This window comes from Homo sapiens, chromosome 8 (genome assembly GCF_000001405.40).
Source record: "Homo sapiens chromosome 8, GRCh38.p14 Primary Assembly".
Classification (NCBI taxonomy): Eukaryota; Metazoa; Chordata; class Mammalia; order Primates; family Hominidae; genus Homo; species Homo sapiens.
Genome location: NC_000008.11, coordinates 144,970,988 through 144,993,955, shown reverse-complemented (window position 1 = coordinate 144,993,955; position 22,968 = coordinate 144,970,988). Strand labels below are relative to the sequence as shown.

Sequence of the window (22,968 nt, the reverse complement as noted above, 5' to 3'; positions counted from 1 at the left end):
CTTGAGACCAAAAGGATTCAAGTTGGGGTTCCCATGACCCTCACTTTGGGTTCTATTAATTTGCTGGAGCATCTCACAGAACTCAGGGAAACACTTAGATTTACAAGTTTAGGCTGGGCGCAGTGGCTCATGCCTGTAATCCCAGCAATTTGGGAGGCCGAGGTGGGCAGATCACTTGAGGTCAGGAGTTCGAGACCAACGTGGCCAATATAGTGAAACCCCGTCTCTACAAAAGATACAAAAATTAGCCAGGCATGGTGGTGTGCATCTGTAGTCTCAGTTACTTGGGAGGATGAGGCATGAGAATCACTTGAACCCAGGAGGCAGAGGTTGCAGTGAGCTGAGATCATGCCACTGCACTCCAGCCTGGGTGGCAGAGTGAGACCCTGTCTCAGAAAAGAAAAAGAAAGATTTACCAATTTATTATAAAGGATAAAGATGAAGAAATGTGTAAGCTGAGGTATGGGGGAAGGGGTGCAGAGTTTTCATGCCCTTCCTGGGTGCATCACCCTCTAGGATCCTGTCCACTTAGCTATCCAGCAGCTCTCTGAACCCTGCCCTCTTAGGTTTGTATAGAGGCTTTATTATGTAGGTATGATTGATTAAACCATTGGCCATTGGTGATAAACTTAACCTTTAGCTCCTTTCCCCTCTCTTGAGTTTGGGGCATTGGAGCTGAGAATCCCAACCCTGTAATCGTGCCTTGGCCTTTCCAGTGACCAGCTTCATCCTAAAGCTGTCAGTCAACATAAGTCTATGAAAAGGCAGCACTTTGGAGATTACAAGGATTTTAGGAGTTGTATGCCAGGTTATGGGGATGAAGACCAAATATGTATTTCACACTATCCCACAGGGTTTGCTGGCCAGCTCTGTTTTGGCTGCTGGGAAATACCAATTAGAGAGACGTTCTCTTCTAAGTCTCTCATTCCTGCTGTTACTCACTCAGAGCATCCCAGGCTGATTCTCGGTCTTAAGGAAACAGATGAGCTAGAAAGGGTTTCTTCCTGTGTAGTGGGGGACCTGGGCATGTAAACAGTAAGCAGAGCAGAGTCCTAGGGCTCCGTGCTACCACACAGCTAACATTGGTCATTTGCGCTTGATGCAGGCCTGGCACTGTGCTGTCACAATGAATTTATGGAATTCACCAATATCTCTGCACAATCAGTGTCCAGGAAACTGAGGCACAGAGAGGTTAAATTATTGGCCCCAGATCACACAGCCAGCCAGGGAGAGAGCAACGTTGGGTCCCTGGCAGATTGGTCTCAGCCCCATACTCTTATTTATTTTCTTTAAAGAACCAGCCTTATTGAGGTGTAATTAACATATAATATGTTAATAAGTATTTAAAGTATATGATTTTATATCTTTTGACATATGTATACACATGTGAAACCATTGCTACAATCTAGGGCAGACATATCCATCACCCCCAAAAGTTTTCTCCTCCTTCATCATCTTTCACTCCTTCCCACCTTTCTCACTCCTTCCCACTTCTATACTGAAGCAATTACTGATCTCCTTTCTGTCACTATAAATTATATATATATGTATATATATATATATATATATATATATATATATATTTTTTTTTTTTTTTTGAGACGGCGTCTCGCCCTGTCACCCAGGCTGGAGTGCGGTGGCACGATCTCGGCTCACTGCAAGCTCCGCCTCCCGGGTTAAGGCCATTCTCCTGCCTCAGTCTCCTGTGTAGCTGGGACTACAGGCACCCACGACCACGCCTGGCTTTTTTGTATTTTTAATAGAGACGGGGTTTCACCGTGTTAGCCAGGATGGTCTCTATCTCCTGACCTCGTGATCCGCCCGCCTCGACCTCCTGAAGTGCTGGGATTGCAGGCATGAAGCACCGCACCAGGCCTTTTATATTCTTTTGAATAAATCAAACTTTATGTAATTTTATTTTTCTTCTCCATTAGCTTTTTAGTTGTACATTCTTTTTTAAGTGATGACTCTAATGATTAAATATGTCTCTTCAACTTACTATGGTCTACCTTAATATTTTTACCACTTCTTGAAAAATGCAAGATCCTTACGTTTGCTTTTGTCCCTCTCCTGCCTTTCATTATTATAGTCACTTATTTTGTACTACCTACTTTGAAACCTCACCAGAGAGTTTATTCTGTTGCTATTTTTGACGGTATATATACATTACATTTAGAGTTACCCTTTCTAGTGTTTTTCATTCCTTTCTGCAGTTCTGTACTTTTGTCTAAGATCATTATTTTCAGTTTGAAAAATTCCCTTTAGTATTTCTTGTACTTAAGTTAGCATTATTCTGTGAGTTTTTGTTTGTCTGAAAATGTCTTTATTTTCCTTTCTTGATTTTTTCCTTTATTCTTTGGATATGATGTATTAATTGATTTTAGGATGCTAAACAAACCTTGCATTTCTGGGATAAATCCCACTCAGTAATGGTGTATAATTTTTATATATGTTTTCATTGAATGAATTGGGAAGTGTTCTCTTTTGTTTTTTTGGAAGAGTTTGTGAAGAATTGGTATTAAGCCTTTTTTCTATTCTCTAGTTCATTAGTTTCTGTTATATTCCTTATTTTCTACCTTCTGCTTGATTTGGGTTTAGTTTTTTTGTTTGTTTGTTTGTTTTCTCCAGTGTTTTAAGGTAGAAGATTAGGTTGTTGATTTGCTCCCTTTAAAAAAAAAAAAAAGTAGGCATTGAGGAAGGAGCCAAGATGGCCAAATACAAACAGCTCCAGTCTGCAGCTCCCATTGAGACCAACACAGAAGATGGGTGATTTCTGCATTTCCAACTGAGGTACCCAGTTCATCTCATTGGGACTGGTTAGGTAGTGGGTGCAACCCATGGAGAGGGAGCAGAAGCAGGGAGGAACATCGCTTCACCCAGGAAGTGCAAGGAGCCGGGGGACCTCCCTGCCCCAGCTAAGGGAAGCCATGAGGGACTGTGCTACCCAGCCTAGGTACTACACTTTTCCCATGGTTTTTACAATCTGCAGATCAGGAGATTCCCTCATGAGCCTACACCACCAGGGTCCTGGGTTTCAAGCACAAAACTGGGCGGCTGTTTAGGCAGGCATCGAGCTAGGTGCAGGAGTTTTTTTCATACCCTGGTGGCACCTGGAATCCCAGTGAGACAGAACTATTCACTCCCCTGGAAAGGGGGCTGAAGCCAGGGAGCCAAGTGGTCTCAATCAGCGAGTCCCACTCCCATGGATCCCAGCAAGCTAAGAACCACTGGCTTGAAATTCTCACTGCCAGCACAGTAGTCTGGAGTCAACCTGGGATGTTCGAGCTTGGAGGGGGAAGGAGCATCTTCTGACATTACTGAGGCTTTAGTAGGCGGTTTTCCCCTGACGGTGCTAAGGAGACCAGGAGGTTTGGACTGGGCGGAACACCACAGTGCGGCAAAGCAGCTATGGCCAAACTGCTTCTCTCGATTTCTCCTCACTGGGCAGGGCATCTCTAAAGGAAATGCAGCAGCCCCAGTCAGGAGCTTACAGATAAAACTCTCACCTCCCTGGGACAGAGCCCCTGGAGGGAGGGGCAGCTGTGGGCGCAGCTTCAGCAGACTTAATCTTTCCTGCCTGGCTGTGAAGAGAGGAGCTGATCCTGACAAAGGGGATTCTCCTAGCACAGCACACCAGTTCTGCTGAGGGACAGACTGCCTCCCCAGGTGGGTCCCTGAACCCCATGCCTCCTGACTGGGAGACACCTCTTAACGGCTCAAGAGACACCTCACACAGGAGAGCTCCAGATGGCATCAGGTCAGTGCCACTCTGGGATAAAGCTTCTAGAGGAAGGAGCAGGTGGCAATCTTTGCTGTTCTGCAGCCTCCACTGGTGATAACCAAGTCAACAGGGTCTGGAGTGGACCTCCATCAAACGGCAGCAGACTGGCAGAAGAGGCGTCTGACTGTTAGAAGAAAAACTAACAAACACAAAGCAACAATAACAACATCAACATAAAAGACCCCACACACACACACAAACTCCATCCAAAGGTCATCAGCCTCAAAGATCAAAGGTAAATAAATCCACGAAGATGAGGAAAAAACAGTGCAAAAACACTGAAAATTCCAAAAACCGGAATGTCTCTTCTCTTCCAAATGATCACAACTCTTCTCCAGCAAGGGCACCAAACTGGATGGAGAATGAGACTGATGAATTGACAGAAGTAGGCTTCAGAAGGTGGGTAATAACAAACTCCTCTGAGCTAAAAAAAAAACCATGTTGTAACCCAATGCAAGGAAGCTAAGAAACTTGGTAAAAGGTTACAGGAACTGCTAACTAGAATAACCAGTTTAGAGAGGAACATAAATGACCTGATGGAGCTGAAAAGCACAGCACAAGAACTTCCTGAAGCATATACAAGTATCAATAGCCGAACTGATCAAGTGGAAGAAGGATAGTAGAGATTGAAGATCACCTTGCTGAAATAAGGCATGAAAACAAGATTACAGAGAAAAGAATTAAAAGGAACAAACAAAGCCTCCAAGAAATATGGGTCTATGTGAAAAGACCAAACCTACGATTGATTGGTGTATCTGAAAGCAATGGGGAAAATGGAACCAAGTTGGAAAACACACTTCAGGATATTATCCAGGAGAGCTTCCCCAACCTAGCAAGATATGCCAACATTCAAATTCAGGAAATACACAGAACACCACTAAGATACTCCACAAGAAGATCAAACCCAAGATACATAATCATCAGACTCTCCAATATTGAAATGAAGGAAAAAATGCTAAGGGCAGCCAGAGAGAAAGATCAGGTCACCTACAAAGGTAAACCCATTAGACTAACAGGTGATCTCTCTGCAGAAACCCTATAAGCCAGACGAGAATGGGGGCCAATATTCAACATTCTTAAAAGAACTGGGCTGGGCGCAGTGGCTCACACCTGTAATCCCAGCACTTTGGGAGGCTGAGGTGAGCGGATTACCTGAGGTCAGGAGTTCGAGACCAGCCTGACCAGCATGGAGAAACCCTGTCTCTACTTAAAAATACAAAAATACAAAAATTAGCCACATGGTGGCACATGCCTGGGAGGCACAGGTTGCAGTGAGCTGAGATTGCACCATTGCACTCCAGGCTGGGCAATAAGAGCAAAATTCCATCTCAAAAAAAAAAAAAAAAAAAAAAGAAGAATTTTCAACCCAAAATTTCATATCCAGCCAAACTAAGTTTCACAAGCAAAAGAGAAATAAAACCCTTTCCAGACAAGCAAATGATGAGGGATTTTGTCACCAGCAGGCCTGCCTTACAAGAGCTCCTGAAGGAAGCACTAAATATGGAAAGGAAAAACTGGTACCAGCCGCTGCAAAAACACACCAAAATATAGAGACCAATGACACTGTGAAGAAACTGCATCAACTAATGTGCAAAATAACCAGCTAGCATCATGATGCCGGGATCAAATTCACACATAAAAATATTAATCTTAAACATAAATGGGCTAAATGCCCCAATTAAAAGATGCAGACTGGCCAATTGGATAAAGAGTCAAGACCCATCCATGTGCTGTATTCAGGAGATCCATCTCACATGCAAAGACACACATAGGCTCAAAATAAAGGAATGGAGGAATATTTACCAAGCAAATGGAAAGCAAAAACAAAAACAAAAACAAAAAAAGCAGGGGTTGCAGTACTATTCTGATAAAACAGACTTTAAGCCAATGAAGATCAAAAAAGACAAAGAAGGGCATTACATAATAGTAAAAGGATCAATGCAACAAGAGGAGCTAACTATCCTAAATATATATGCACCCAATACAAGAGCACCCAGATTCATAAAGCAAGTTCTTAGAGACCTACAAAGAGATTTAGACTTCCACACAATAATAGTGTGAGACTTTAACACCCCACAGTCAATATTAGATTAACAAGACAGAAAATTAGCATCCTTTATTTATTTATTTTTTTAATTTATTATTATTTTTTTGAGACAGAGTCTCACTCTGTCAACCTGGCTGGAGTGCAGTGGTGCAATCTCGGCTCACTGCAAGCTCTGCCTTCTGGGTTCATGCCATTCTCCTGCCTCAGCCTCCTGAGAAGCTGGGACTACAGGTGCATGCCACCATGCCCAGCTAATTTATTTGTATTTTTAGTAGAGAAGGGGTTTCACCGTGTTAGCCAGGATGGTGTTGATCTCCTGACCTCATGATCTGCCCACCTTGGCCTCCCAAAGTGCTAGGATTACAGGTGTGATCCACCACACCCAGCCAGCATCCTTTAAAATTAAAGATATTCAGGACTTGAATTCTTCTCATTCTTGTCAGTGCCACATGGCACTTATTCTAAAATCAACCACATAATTGGAAGTAAGACACTCCTCTGCAAATGCAAAAGAACAGAATTCATAACGGTCTCTCAGACCACAGTGCAATCAAATTAGAACTCAGGATTAAGAAACTCACTCAAAACCACACAACTACATGGAAATTGAACAGCCTACTCCTGAATGACTCTTGGGTAAATAATGAAATTAAGAATGAAATAAGTTCGTTGAAGCCAATGAGAATGAAGAGACAATGTACCAGACTTTCTGGGACACAGCTAAATCTGTGTTAAGAGGGAAATTTATAGCACTAAATGCCCACATCAGAAAGCTGGAAAGATCTGAAATCGGCACCCTAACATCACAATTAACTAGAGAAGCAAGGGCAAACAAATTCAAAAGCTAGCAGAAGACAAGAAATAACTAAGATCAGAGAAAAACCGAAGGAGATACAGAAAGGAAAAACCCTTCAAAAATCAATGAATCCAGGAGGTGGTTTTTTGAAAAAATTAACAAAATAGATAGACCGCTAGCTAGACTAATCAAGAAAAGAGAGAAGCATCAAATAGACACAATAAATAATGATAAAGGGGATATTACCACTGATCCCCCAGAAATACAAACTATGATTGGAGAATACTATAAACACCTCTACTCAAATTAGAAAATCTAGAAGAAATGGATAAATTTAGTTTAGTCTTCTAGAAGACTAAACCAGGAAGATGTCAAACCCCTGAATAGACCAATAACAAGTTCTGAAATTGAGGCAGTAATTCATAGCCTACCAACCAAAAAAAAGCCCAGGGCCAGATGGATTTACAGCCAAATTCTACCAGAGGTATAAAAAGGAGTTGGTACCATTCCTTCTGAAACTATTCCAAACAATAGAAAAAGAGGGACTCCTCCCTAACTCATTTTATGAGGCCAGCATCATCCTGATACAAAACCTGACAGAGACACATCAAAAAAAAAAGAAAATTTCAGGTCAATATCCCTGATGAACATCGATGCAAAAATGCTCAATAAAATACCGGCAAACTGAATCCAGCAGCATATCAAAAAGCTTATTCATCACGATCAAGTCATCATCCCTAGGATGCAAGGCTGGTTCATCATATGCAAATCAATAAATGTAATCCATCACATAAACAGAACCTATGACAAAAACCACATGATTATCTCAATAGATGCAGAAAAGGCCTTCGATAAAACTCAACCGCTTCATGTTAAAAACTCTCAATCAGCTAGGTATTGATGGAACATATAATAGCTATTTATGACAAACCCATAGCCAATATCTTACTGAATAGGCAGAAGCTGGGAACAATCCCTTTGAAAACTGGCACAAGGCAAGGATACCCTCTCTCACCACTCCTATTCAACATAGTATTGGAAGTTCTGGCCAGGGCAATCAGGCAAGAGAAAGAAATAAAGAGTATTCAAATAGGAAGAGAGGCAGTCAAATTGTGTCTATTTATAGATTACATGATTGCGTATTTAGAAAACCCCATTGTCAGCCAGGTGCAGTGGCTGACACTTGTAATCCCAGCACTTTGGGAGGCCTAGGCAGGCAGATCACGAGGTCAGGAGATTGAGACCATCCTGGCTAACACAGTGAAACCCCTTCTCTACTAAAAATACAAAAAAATTAGCCAGGCATGAGCCAAGATTGTGCCACTGGACTCCAGCCTGGGTGACACAGCAAGACTCCATCTCAAAAAAAAAAAAAAAAAGTCAGGAAACAACAGATGCTGGTGAGGCCATGGAGAAATAGGAATGCTTTTACACTGTTGGTGAGAGTGTGAACAAGTTCAATCATTGTGGAAGACAGTGTGGTGATTCCTCAAGGATCTAGAACCAGAAATACCAGTTGACCCAGCAATCCCATTACTGGGTATATAACCAAAGGACTGTAAAGCATTCTACTATAAAGATAAATGCACACATACGTTTCTTGCAGCATTATTTACAATAGCAAAGACTTGGAACCAACCAAAATGCCCATCACGGATAGACTGGATAAAAAAAAATGTGGCATATATACACCATGGAATACTACACAGCCATAAAAAAGAATGAGTTCATGTCCTTTACAGGGACATGGATAAAGCTGGAAGCCATCATCCTCAGCAAACTAACACAGGAACAGAAAACCAAAAACCTTATGTTCTCACTCATAAGTGGGAGTTGAACAGTGAGAACACATCAACACAGGGAGGGGAACATCACACACCGGGGCCTGTCAAGGGGAGAGGGACAAGGGGAGGGAAAGCATTAGAACAAATACCTAATGCATATGGGCCAAAAAACTAGATGACAGGTTGATAGGTAGATTACCATGGCACATGTATACCTATGCAACAAACCTGCAGGTTCTGCACATGTATCCCAGAACTTAAAGTAAAATTTCTAAAAAATTAAAAAAAATTTTTTTTTAACTTTAAATAATGTTGGTATTGACAGCTACAAATTTCCTTCTAAGCACAGATTTAGCTGCATCCCACAGGTTTTGATATGTTGTGTCTTCCTTTTCATTCATCTCAAAGTATTTTCTAATTTTACTTGGTATTTCTTGTTTGACCCATTGGTTCTTTAGTACTGTGTTGCTTAATTTTTACATTTTTGTGAATTTAGCAAATTATTTTCTGTTATTAGTTTCAGTTTCATTCCATTATGTTTAGAAAACATAGTGACAAGGAAACTTGTACAATTTCAGTCTTTTTAAACTGATCCAGGCTTGTTTTATGGCCTAGCCTATGATCTATCCTGGAAAATATTCCACGTGTGCTTGAGAAAAATGTGTATTCTGCTGTTGTTGGGTGGAGTATTCTCTAACAACTTAATGTTTGTTAAGTCTAGTTTGTATACAGTGTTCTTAATCTTCTACTCTTGTCACTCAGTATCCATGGGGGATTGGTTCCAGGAACCCCTTCAAATACCGAACTCCACAAGTCCCTTATATAAAATGGTGTAATATTTTCATATAACCTATGTACATCCCCCTCCTATATACTTTAATACAATGTAAATGCTATGTAAATAGTTGTTATACTGTACTGTCTAGGGAATAATGACAAATCTGTATATGTTCAGTACAGATGCCACCATGCTTTTTAATTTCCAATTTTTTTTTGTATCTGTGGTCACTTGAATCCATTGATGCAGCATCCCTAGTGTATTAGTCTGTTTTCACACTGCTATGAAGAACTACCTGAGACCTGGCAATTTATAAAGGAAAGAGGTTTAATTGACTCACAGTTCCACATAGCTGGGGAGGCCTCAGGAAACTTACAATCATGGAAGAAAGTGAAGGGGAAGCAAGGCACGTCTTACATAGCAGCAGCATTTGGAGGGGGAGGGTCGACTGCCAAGCACTTTTAAACCATCAGGTCTTGTGAGAACTCACTATTATGAGAACAGCATGGGCGAAACCACGCCCATGATCCAATCACCTCCCACCAGGTCCCTCCCTCAACATGTTGGGATTACAATTTGGGAAGATATTTGGGTGGGGACACAGAGCCAAACTATATCACCTAGATACAGAGGGCCAACTGTATTTCCTTGTTGATTTTCTGGTTAGATGTTCTATCCAAATTGAAAGTGGGGTTTGAAGTCTCTGACAACTGCTGTTGAACTATGTATTTCCCCCCAATTCTTTCAACCTTTCATTGCACATACTTTGAAGCTCTGTCGTTAGCTGTGTATATGTTTACAAGTGTTAAAACTTATGAGTTGACTTTTTATCATTATAAAATGTCTATCTTTATCTCTGATAGCATGTTACATTTTAAAGTCTATTTTGTCATTATTATAACCACTCCAGCTTTCTTATGGTTCCTATTTGCATAACACAGGGTATCTTATTTGATTTATGATTTTTCAACTTCACAATGGTGAAAATCATTCTGTTTTTCACTTTCAGTACAGTGGTCAATAAATTGCATGATATTCAACACTTTACTATAAAATAGGCTTTGTATTAGATTATTTTGCCCAATTGTAGGCTAATGTAAGTGTTCTGAGCATGTTTAAGGTAGGCTAGACTAAGCTATGTTTGATAGGTTAGATGTATTAAATGCATTTTTGACTTATTAGTCCATTCTCACACTACTATAAAGAAATACCTAATACTGGGTAATTTGTAAGGAAAAGAGGTTTAATTGGCTCACAGTTCTGCAGGCTGTATGGGAAGCATACCAGCTTCTGCTTCTAGGGAGGCTTCAGGAAACTTACAATCATAGCAGCAGGTGAAGGGGAAGCAGGCACATCTTACATGGCTGGAGCAGGAGGAAGAGATACAGGGAGGAGGTGCCACACCCTTTTAAACAACCAGATCTCACAAGAACTCTATCACAAGAACAGCACCAGGGGGATGGTGCTAAGCCATTCATGAGAAACCGCGCCCCCATGATCCAATCACTTCCTATCAGGCCCTACCTCCAGCATTGGGGATTGCATTTCAGCATGAGATTTGGGTGGGGACATAGATCCAAACCATATCAACTTCTATATTTTCAACATACAATGGGTTTTTCAGGACATAACCCCATTGTAAGTTGAGAAGCATCTGTGTATCTTTTTCCATTCTTTTACTTCCAATCTGTTTATATCTTTGAATCTAAAGTGTATTTCCAATAGACAGCATATAGTTGGATATTGTTTTTTAATCCACTGTGACTCTGCCTTTTTTTCCTTTTTTTCTTTCTGCCTTTTCTTTGAATTGTTTAGTCATATTTATTATTTTTTGTGTAGTTGTGTTTACATCTGCCATTGTGCTCTTTGTATTTCGTATATCTTGTGTCTTTTCTGTTCTACCATTCCTCCTTAATTTTTTTCTTTTGCATTGAGTAGATTTTATTTTATTTTTATTTTTAGAATCAGGTCTTGCCCTGTTTCCCAGGCTGGAGTGCAGTGGCCTGATCATGGCTCACTGTAGCCTTGAACTCCTGGGCTGAAGGGATCCTTCTTCCTCAGCCTCCAGTAGCTGGGACTACAGGTGTGTGCCACCATGCCTGGCTAAGTGTGTGTTTTTTTGTTTTGTTTTGCTTTTTTTTTTCAATTTTATTTTTAGAAACTGGGTCTTGCTTTTATGTGGCCTAGGCTGGTCTCAAACTCCTGGCCTCAAGTGATCTTCCTGCCTCAGCCTCCCAAGTGACTGGGATTATAGATGTGAACCACCATGCCCAGCTGCATTGAGTACAATTTTTCTATTATAACATTTTAATTTCTTAACTGATATTTTCACTTTTTGAAAGTTATTCTCTTAATTACTACTCTAGAGCTTACCACATACATTTTATCAGAATTTGCTTCTAACTTATACTAACAAAATTCAATGAGATATAGAATTGTTACTCATATATAGCTCTATTTAATCTTCTTCCTTTATATACTATTGTTTTACAATTATATGTTTGTTATAAACCCACCAATACATTTTTATAATTTTTACTTTATATAATTTTATGTCAATTGTGGAAACAGAAAAGAAATAAGAGCAAGTATATATTGGTAAAGTTTTTAATGTTTACTTTCTTATTTACCATTTATGGTTTTTTTCATATGTTCCTGTACATTCAGGTTACCATCTGCTGTCATTTCCTTTGTACAGTACAACTCTGTTCTCATCCACCTCCTTTGTGCTGTTGTCATATATAATACATTTTTACATCTTAAAGCCTAAACAATATAACTATATAAATTCGATTTATAAAATTGCTTTTTAAATTAATTAAGAGAGATGAAAAACATATATTTATACTTTCATATAATTAAAGAATTACCTTCATCTTTATTCTTTGTGTTTTGGGTGGGTTCTCATTTCTATCTGTGTTTACTTGCTTCCAACCTGAAGAATTTTCTTTGGTTTTTTTTTAAGGTGCATCTAGCAGCAATAAATTATGTTTATATTTATCTGGTAATGCTTTTATTTCATCTTCACTTTTGAAAGATAATTTGCTGGATAGAAACTTCTTTTTTCTTCTTCTTCTTTTTTAGAGACAGTCTCACTCTGTTGCCCAGGCTGGAGTACAGTGGCATGATCTCAGCTCACTGCAGCCTCCACCTCCTGGGTTCAAGTGATTCTCCTGCCTCAGCCTCCTGAGTAGCTGGGATTATAGGCATGCACCACCATACCCAGCTTTTTTTTTTAATAGAGGTGGGGTTTCACCATGTTTGCCAGGCTGGTCTCGAACTCCTGATCTCAGGTGATCCATCCACTTTGGCCTCCTGAATTGCTGGGATTATAGGTGTGAGCCAACATACTTGGCCAGGATAGAAAATTCTTGGTTGAGAGTCTTTTTCTTTCAGAACTTTGAATATGTTATCCACTGTCTTCTGACCTCCATTAGTTCTGATAAGAAGTCTGCTGTTTATCTTATTGGGGCACCCTTGTACATGATAAGTTGTTTTTCTCTTGCTTTCAAGATTTTCTCCTTGTCATTAACATTTAACGTTTTTACCATGATGTTTCTGAGTGTTGGTATCTTTGTGTTTATCCCATTTGGAGTTCTTTGGGCCTCTTGGATGTGCAGTTTAATGTTTTCCAGGAAATATCAGAAGTTTCCCACCATTATTAAAGTATTTCTTAAATTGTGGTAAAATTATATAACATGAGGATCAGTCTACATTCTTAAACACTTTTAAGTATACAATACAATAGCAAAATGCTGTAGAGCAGGTCTCTGGAACTTTCTCAAAACCTTGCATGACTGAAACCCTGTACCCACTGAATAGCAACTCCCCATTTCTCCCTCTCCCCAACCCCTGGCAACCAACCCCTGGCAACCACGATTGCACTTTTTGTTTCTATCAGTTTGACTATTTTAGATACTTCATTTAAGTGGAACTGTGCAGTATTCATCCTTCTATGATGTCTTATTTCACTTAGCATAATGTCCTCAGAGTTCATTTGTGTAGTTGCATAGGACAGGATTTTCTTCTACAATATTTTATGGCTGAATATTTCATCATATGGATATACCAGATTTTCTTTATACATCCATCTGTTGATGGACATCTAGGTTGTTTCCACCTCTTGGCTATTGTGAATAATGCTGCAGTGAACATGGGAGTGCAAACCTATCTTCAAGATTCTGATATTGGCTGGGTACGGTGGCTCACACCTGTAATCCCAACACTTTGGGAGGCCAAGGTGGGCAGATCATGAGGTCAAGAGATCAAGACCATCCTGGCCAACATGGTGAAATCCTGTCTCTACTAAAAATACAAAAATTAGCTGGGCATGGTGGCATGTGCCTGTAATCCCAGCTACTCAGGAGGCTGAGGCAGGAGGATCACTTGAACCCAGGAGGCAGAGGTTGTGGTGAGCCAAGATTGTGCCATTGCACTCCAGCCTGGGCAACAGGAGCAAAAAAACTCTGTCTCAAAAAAAAAAAAAAAGAAAGAAAGAAAGAAATTAAACACCGCCAACCAAGGATCACCAGATATCTGAGGGAAATGGCAATATGAACTTTAGTGTGAGATGTTGGTTCTTGTCTTATGGATGACTCTCTCTTATGGTTTCTCATTTTGTTCACATTTATTTTGTCTCCTCCCAGCAAAATAACACCTAATAGAATCATCTGTCAGACTTTAGTCCTGAGACTACCTTGAGGACTCAACTCCTCAGATACCTCAGAAATTTTTCTCCCTACATTCAGGATGTTTATCTTCTAGGACACTGTTTGTAGGTTTCTAGAGTAAATTATGAAGTTTGCTTTTTTCCTTTCATACTCTGAATGGCAAAATCAATCCCTCTGTAGTACCATGAGTAGTTCACAGAAATCTATTGCGATTACTTAGCTTTTTGTTTTATTTTATTTTATTTTATTATTTTATTTTATTTTATTTTATTTTTTGAGACAGAGTCTTGCTCTGTCACCCAGGCTGGACTGCAGTGGCACAATCTTGACTTACTGCAACCCCCACCTCCTGAGTTCAAGCTATTCTCCTGCCTCAGCCTCCCAAGTAGCTGGGATTAGAAGCACCCGCCACCATGCCCAGCTAAATTTTGTATTTTTAGTAGAGATGTGGTTTTGCCATGTTGGCCATGCTGGTCTAAAACTCCTGACCTCAGGTGATCCACCCGGTTTGGCCTCCCAAAGTGCTGGGATTACAAGCGTGATCCACCACACCCAGCCATACTTAACTCAATTTTAGGCCTCATCCAGTTAGTATTTTTAGCTCAGTCTCCCTGTTCAAGCAGTGCAGTCTCAAGGAGCATCCCATTATAACTAATGATAACCGCCATTTGCAAAAAGAAGATTCCATTGTCCTTTTGTGGTATCTCAACACAGGGCTGCCCTCTTACTGTTCTGACCTCAGTTATCCTTCCCACAGTCTTTGTATCTATGTGACTTAGTGCTTGTTTTTTGTTTGTTTATTTGTTTTGTTGGTTGGTTTTGGATTTTTCTTTTTAATAAGCTTCCTTTCATTGGGTCTCAGAATTCAGTTTTATAGTTTTCACAAATTTTTGGACACTTTTGTTCACTGGAAATGTGTGATTTGGGACTGTTGTTTATACTTGGCCTTTTTGCCTTGTGCTGCCCAAGCTATTTCCTGAGTAGGTTGCTGCTTTTTTCTGTTTTTCCTGATTTGCTTCTGTGAAACCAAGTTGTCTAGATCAAATAGTTTTTTTCATCATCTATTGCACTGATGTACACCTCATTTATTATGAGTCATTTATCATTTATTTTCAACAAATATTTGAGTATGCTATGTGTAAGCCATAAGAAGATACCTTGTTTACAAAGTATGCAGCAATGACATGAATAGTGGAGGCAGCCTCCAATTCCTCCCTCCTGGTAACTCTCCCCAAATCCTTTCTCAGATCTTGCCTTTCCTACTCCAGGAAAGGTCAGCCTGGTTGCAGATTTAAGCCTTTGACCTTGGGCATATTACCTTCCTTCTTCCTTCCCACACCAGTGTTCATTGCTTTACCAGCATGCTTCTCTTTTTCCTCTCCCCAATGGGGTCATATTTGTTGCTTTTTTTTTTATTTGCATTCTGAATATCAGTATTATCCTAGAAGATATTTGTTTGATACAAATATTTCTGTTTATTCTCTAATTCTTTCTTCCATAGTAAAATGCAAGCGATTCACTTTTTTTTTCTTTTTCATTCTTTCAGGCTGTGATTCTAGGATTGAAAAAGAGGAAATGATTCCAAAGCAGGACATTTCTGAAGAATTGGAATCCCAGAGAGCAAAATCAGAAGATCATGTAAGGAATATTTTTAAGGAAACTGAAGAGATGAGTAAAACTGAGGGAAAGTTAGAGAATTGCTGGAGAAAATATGCAGTAGAAGGAGTTAAGAACTCATTCTCCCAGAAGAGCAATTTCAGAGAAATTACCATGAGGTATGTGAAAACCCTCTCTAGAGAGAATGGCCAGAAGTTCAATGCTGTTGGAGAAAACTGCATTACAGACTCAAATCCTGCCAAACATCTTAGAGGGTCTAGAGAGGAGAGTCTCCATCCAAGTGTGTCAAGTGTAGAAAACTTGCAACAACATGAGGACCTCATTAACCTCCAGAGTTTCCAATTAGGAGAAAGAGCCTATCAGACAGATGTGTTAGTGAAAGTGCCCAGACAGAGCTCAGTTCTTAGTGAGAATCAGAGGATGAATAATCCAGAGAGATGGTTTGAGAGTACTGGGTGTGGAAAAACTTACAATCAGAACAGAGCTTTTAACCAGCACCAGAGATTTCATAGTGGAGAGAAGACCTATGAGCACAATGAATGTGGAAAAGCTTTCAGTTGGCCCTCTATCCTCAGTAAACATCAGAGAATCCACACTGGTAAGAAACTCTACACATGTGAGGATTGTGGCAAATCTTTCAGTGTTCACTCATACTTTATTCAGCATTGTAAAATTCACACTAGAGAAAAACCCTATGAGTGTATTAAATGTGGGAAAGCTTTTAGTACACATTCATCTTATGTTCAACATCTAAAAATTCATACAGGAGAGAAACATCATGAGTGTAATCAGTGTGGGAAAGCCTTTAGTCATAGCTCTAATCTAATTCATCATCAGAGAATTCATAGTGGAGAGAAACCTTACAAGTGCAAAGAATGTGGGAAAGCCTTCAACAGACAATCAAACCTTATTCAGCATCAGAGAATTCATTCTGGAGAGAAACCTTATGACTGTAAGGAGTGTGGCAAAGCCTTCAGTACACAATTATTTCTCATTCAGCATCAGAGAATTCATACAGGAGAAAAGCCCTATGAATGTAATGAATGTGCAAAATCCTTTAGCCTGAACCGAACTCTTACTGTCCATCAGAGAATTCACACTGGAGAGAAACCTTATAGGTGTAATGAATGTGGGAAATCCTTTAGTCAATGCTCACAAGTTATTCAACATAAGAGAATTCACACTGGAGAGAAACCTTATATCTGCAATGAGTGTGGAAAATCATTTGGTGCTCGTCTATCCCTTATCCAGCATCAGAGAATTCACACTGGAGAGAAACCTTATGGTTGTAGTGTGTGTGGGAAAACCTTTAGTCAAAAGGGACATCTTATTCAGCATCAGTGAATTCACACAGGAGAGAAACCCTATGAATGTAGTGAGTGTGGAAAAGCTTTCAGCCAGAGTTTTAATCTTATTCACCATCAAAGAACACACAATGGTGAGAAGTCCTATGAATGTAATGAATGTGATAAAGCCTTCAGTTTGCTTTCTTCCCTTGTTCAACATCAGAGAATACATAATGGAGACAAACCCTATGAGTGTCACAAATGTGGGAAGGCCTTTAGCCAGGGGTCACACCTTATTCAGCATCAGAGGAGTCACATTGGTGAGAAACCCTATGAGTGTAATGAGTGTGGGAAAACCTTTGGGCAGATATCCACCCTAATTAAGCATGAGAGAACACACAATGGAGAGAAGCCCTATGAGTGCAGTGACTGTGGGAAGGCCTTCAGCCAGAGTGCACACCTTATCCACCATCAAAGAATTCACACTGGAGAGAATCCCTATGAGTGCAGTGAATGTGGGAAGGCCTTCAATGTTTGTTCCTCTCTCATTCAGCATCACAGAATTCATACTGGTGAGAAACCTTATGAATGTAGTGACTGTGGCAAGGCGTTCAGTCAGCATTCACAATTTATCCAACATCAGAGAATTCACACTGGAGAGAAACCCTACATGTGCAATGAGTGTGAGAAATCCTTCAGTGCATGCTTATCCCTTATCCAACACAAGAGAATTCACACTGGAGAGAAACCCTATGTATGTGCCAAATGTGGAAAATCCTTCTGACAAAGCTCTCACCTTATTCAACATCAGAGAATTCACAGTGGGGAGCAACCTCATACGTGTAATCGATGTGAAAAAACCTTCAGTTAGAGAATAACTCTTAGTAGTCATGAGAAAATCCATACAATTCACATTAGAGAGCAAGTCTATGAATGTAGTAAGTGTGGGGAACTCTAGCGCACAGTCATCTTTCATTCAACATTGTACAGTTCACAGTGGAGAGTAACTGATTAGTCTATAAATTCTTCACAGTTATACATTATATGAGAGTCATACTCGTGAGAAATGAGTCACTTTATGGTTTTCCTTTTGGAGATTCAGCTCTTAAGGGATTTCACTCTCCCAGTGAGCTGCTAACTAAAGGCAGGCTGCTGAAGTATATAGCAGCAATCCCACAATAGCACACCTTGCTTCAGATTCAGAGGATGAGCCCCCTTCTTGAGCCCTGTAGATATGTGAAACTTAATTATTTAGATGCATTTCATGGCACCAGACCCTAAGGTACAGTTAGGTATTTCACTGGAGACCACTTACTTTGCTTTGCTTTGCTTTTTTTTTTTTTTTTTTTTGTATGATTTATTTCAACTTCAAAGAAAGTAGTTGAGATCCTTGCACTTCCAAGTGTGATGGAACCAGGCTAGGGTTTTCTTTGTTTGTTTGGGCCTCTTCAAAACGTTTTTATTCTGTTATAAGGAATATGATACCTTAAGCTTCAATTCACAGGGAAGAGAAACATGATTATAAGCAAAAGTTTGTCAAGGAATAAGGTGAGTCTTTGTGTAGATTAAAATAGTTGAGACCTTGCTAAAAAGTCAGATAACACTGTAATCCACCTCCAGGTTTCCAAGAGTTAAGACGCTGCCAGCAAGGAGCTTGCAGTCTTGTAGCTGGCCCAATATATCCAACTAATTCAAAATGGGAAATTGTACATTTTACTTAAACAGGATTTGGTAGATGGGTCTTCTAGATATGTTGTCATGAAGAAAAATCAGGAAAATGTCCAAGGGTGGGAGCCTGTGGCTTATGGCTTCACTTACCCATCACAGATAGCTATGTTACACTGCAAGAACAGAGTTCATGGCTTTTCCTGAGGTGGCTGGAAACCTTAATCTCCTGAAGTTAAGTCAAAACTTAAATGTCAATTCACCCAGCTCTCTTGCCTGCAGGCTGATCCAGGGACTTAGAGCTTGTTACCCAGTTACAACTTCTTCTAGAGAAGAACTTTTAAGAAGGAAGCAAAAAGAAATTCAGTTTCCCCCAAGGATCTCTTCTTTGAGGTTCCATCAAGAGATGACAAAAGGAGGCTGGGCGCGGTGTCTCACACCTGTAATCCCAGCACTTTGGGAGGCTGAAGTGGGCAGATCACGAGGTCAAGAGATCAAGACCATCCTGGCCAACATGGTGAAACCACATTTCTACAAAATGCAAAAATTAGCTGGGCATGGTGGTGCACGCCTGTAGTCCCAGCTACTTGGGAGGCTGAGGCAGGAGAATTGCTTGAACCCAGGAGGCGGAGGTAGCAGTGAGCCAAGATTGCACCACTGCATTCCAGCATGGCCACAAAGCAAGACTCCAAAAAATATATATATATATGACAAAAGGGTTAGGAAGCTTTTCCTCTGAGGCCCACGATTACACAACCAAATCAGAAAATAATATTTTTTTTGTTTTAAACCTGTTTACATAAGATGGAGGTGTTTACTTAACTAAGAACCTCGGTATTTACTCAAATCCGGTTTTGGGTTTTATGGCTAAAACATTTCTCCAGATTAACCTTATCAGTTTGGAATATGTTTTTATTTTCCATTAAATATTTCATCCAAATCATACTGAATTTTATTTATCATGGCTTTTAATGTTCTCTATTCAAGTCAAATTTCTGTTTCCTAATTACTTGGCTTGGTGATGGCATTAATATTGGTTGGGAGCTAGATGGTCTCTGCTCTATTTGATGATTGGCATAGAGCAATCATACACTTGGTACTTCCTAGCATTTTTTTTTGAGACAGTATCATGCTGTATCATGTTGCACAGGGTGGAGTGCAGTGGTGCAGTCATAGCTCACTGTAACCTTGAACTCCTGGGCTCAAGTGATTCCCCTGCCTCAACTTCATGAGTAGCAGGGACTACAGCTGTGTACCACCACACCGGCCTCTCCTGGCTTCTTAACCACTTACATTAAAATTGAGAGGAGAAAGGCATTTTCAGTTTCTTTAGTTAATAAAAAGAAGCCATTTCTGGAGGAGTTTTATGCCTGTACCAGCAGAGGTTCAGCCTTCCAGGAATCTCATCATGATCCATACTGCTGACACAGGCCTTTGTCACCTGAAGCATTCTTAAAATAAGGAGACTGACATTAAACAGGACAATTGTGAACTCCACTTTGTAAGCATCATACATATCTTACAACTCATTCTGAAGACTCCTTTATTCTTGCTCTTCCCAGAGAGCTACTGTGTTTAGTCATGCTCACTGCACTCACAAGAGAAAAAGAGTAAGTGGCATATTTGCAGGTGTTGATGGTTACAAGAGCATTTTTACTTTTTCCTCCATGTTTGTTCTGCAGCATTTCCATTGATGCATGCTATTGTAGACTTCTTAGGTTGACCTTGGCCTTGACCTCCACCACTAGCTCATGACCCAAAACTGAAGATGTGCATCAGAAAGGGACAGATTTGGTCTTTCTGCTGTAAAAGATATTCTGCCTTAGTGCCTGCTAATTTGTTGTGCATAGTCCTGTGCTGCCAATCTTCCCCACCAATTGTTAAGGTTAATGTGTGTTTTATATGTGTATTCACAAACATTAAAATGTAATCAGTGGATTCCATTATTGCCCATTTTCATGTAAGGTGGGAGGCACTTTGTATGGTTGGGAATCTGTAAGATCTTTAGGACTAAAACTCCTGCCTCTAATCCCAATTTATGAGGCCCTGACTCTCCAGGCAGCATGACTTAGTTGGATTTTTCTCTGCCACGAAACCTGCCAAGGCTTCTTCATCACCCAAAACCCTCCCATGACCAACCTGTATGAAAAGAGGGGCAAAGGTCATTATTAATCACAGACATGCAAAATGATATTACAAGATGTCATTTTACCCTCACTAGGTTGGCAAAAATTAAAGATCTGACAGAGAATGACACCAAATATATTTAGCAACAGTTACTCTCATACGCGGCTGATAGGAGTGGAAATTGGTATGACACATTGGAAAATATTTTGGCATTATTAATACAGTTAAAAATTAGCCCTGGCCAGATGCACTGGCTCACACCTGTAATCCCAGCACTTTGGGAGGCCAAGGCAGGTGGATCACCTGAGGTCAGGAGTTTGAGGCCAGCCTGGCCAACACGGCAAAACCCTGTCTCTACTAAAATAATTAGCCAGGTGGTGTGGTGGGAGCCTGTAATCCCAGCTACTCAGGAGGCTGAGGCAGGAGAATCGCTTGAACCTGGGAGGCGGGGGTTATAGTGAGCTGAGATCGCGCCCCTGCACTCCAGCCTGGGCGACAAAGCGAGACTTCGTCTCAAAAAAAAAATTATGTAACCCACAACCCAGTTCCACTCCTGCACATACATGTTGGGGATGTACTTGCATGAGAACTAGAAGATGTGTCCCAAAATGTTTAATAGCAGCTGTTCCTGTAATAGCAACAAAAAAAAAAAAAGAAAAAAAAACAAGTCCAGTGTTCATGGAGAGGGGGAGAAAAGAAGTTTGATTGTAAGTATAATATAGCAGAAAACTACGTCAAAATCAATTACCTGCAGCTACACACATTATTCTTAAAGCTGTCACTTTGCAGGGGAGTGTGGATTGTTCCCAATATCGACCAACTTTGATTGCTTCCTGTAGTGAAACTCCAGGAGACCTGGGAAATGAGGGAAAAGTGTGACCTGAGAGAGAGAGTGCCAAATAATTGGAAGATTTTTCCAGCTTACTGTTGGCAGAAGTGTGGGTGATATGAAAGGGAGCAGATTCTAAGGCTGTTCAACTAGAGATAATGTAATGTTGGATTGGACTGGGTTTGTTATATGAGTGCACACATGGCAGGCTGTGGATTCACTGTGCTAGTTGCAGTAGCAGCTTGTTAATGGAAGTCTATATTTGGTCATGGCCTCCATTGAGTGAGGCTGACATGCAGAATTGCCTGATTTTACAACAGAGAATGGATTCAAAGGTTCAGGAGGTGCAAGAGGGCACTCCTTTCACCCAGGCTTAGAGAAGTGCATTGATGAGGGAATAGTAACGTCCAGGAAAGACTCTGTAGTGGCTGTTTTATATAGTCTATCAAAGGAAGTAGGAGAGACTGTTATGAAAATGGATTTAGGCTGGGCGCAGTGGCTCACATCTGTAATCCCAGCACTTTAGAGGCCAAGGCAGGTGGATCACTTGAAGTCAGGAGTTTGAAACCAGCCTGGACAACATGGTGAAATGCCGTCTGTACTAAAAATACAAAAATTAGCCAGGCAGGGTGGCAGGTGCATGTAAATCCCAGCTACTCGGGAGGCTGAGGCAGGAGAATCACTTGAACCTGGGAGATGGAGGCTGTAGTCAACCAAGATCACGCCACTGCACACCAGCCTGGGTGACAGAGCAAGACTCCCCTCAAAAAAAAAAAAAAAAGAGGAAGGGAGGGAGGGGGAGAGAGAGAGAAGGAAGAAAGAAAAAGGAAAGGGAAGGAAGGAAGAAAGGGGAAAGGAAAGAGAGGAAGGAAAGAAAAAGGAAAGAAAAGAGAAGGAAAGAAAGAAGAGAAAGAAAAGAGGATTTAACTCAGTGGGAATGGTCAGGACCAGATGGCAGCATGTAACCCTGTCATAGACAGGGAAGTTGTCACTGTAACAGGCCCAGGGCCACAACAGTAATGAGAATGGTTTGACCATAGAGGTTTTGACCCTGAGTAATGATGATGGTGACTATGGACTGAAATAGGTAGACCGCCCACTAAAGTCTTTATCAGTATCAGTGAGTCATTAAGCCTTTACAGACACCTGACTTGGATCAGCACAACAGTCATCGACCTTCACTTACTTCCTAGGCTTGAGCCAGTTCAGACCTAGAACCTCATGAAACAAGAGGAGGCTAGATTTCCCTTGAAAGGTCTTGCTACACTTTCCAAATTTTATGCTATAAATCTTATCCCCTTTGCCAAAGGGAATGTGGACATTTACCAGGGTAACTATATATCAGAGGACAAGAATACCCACTTTTTTAAGGATAAGGAAGTAACATCTTGGATGGAGAAAGAAAAATCTGTTAAGCTATTAATCAGACTGGAATAACAGATAAAACCAGCTGTAAAGTTAATAAGAAACTATTTCTGCCAGAGATATATGAGCTGTAGAATGTCATAAAATTTCACCTCTGCTTTCTTACTGAGAAACTTTGTTCTCTTATAGACTAACAGAAACATGTTAGAAGTTATATCAGTAA

At 40.5% G+C, this 22,968-nt stretch overlaps 1 pseudogene across 1 annotated transcript in view; it reads left to right on the top strand.

Annotated features, from left to right (window-relative positions):
• The window catches only part of ZNF252P (zinc finger protein 252, pseudogene), a 29,311-nt pseudogene extending 8,944 nt beyond the window's left edge, over nucleotides 1–20,367 (top strand). The window contains exon 5 of the transcript NR_023392.1: nucleotides 15,403–20,367. The product of NR_023392.1 is annotated as a zinc finger protein 252, pseudogene (transcript). The remainder of the gene's footprint in view (nucleotides 1–15,402) is intronic.
• Nucleotides 20,368–22,968: the final 2,601 nt, after the last annotated feature.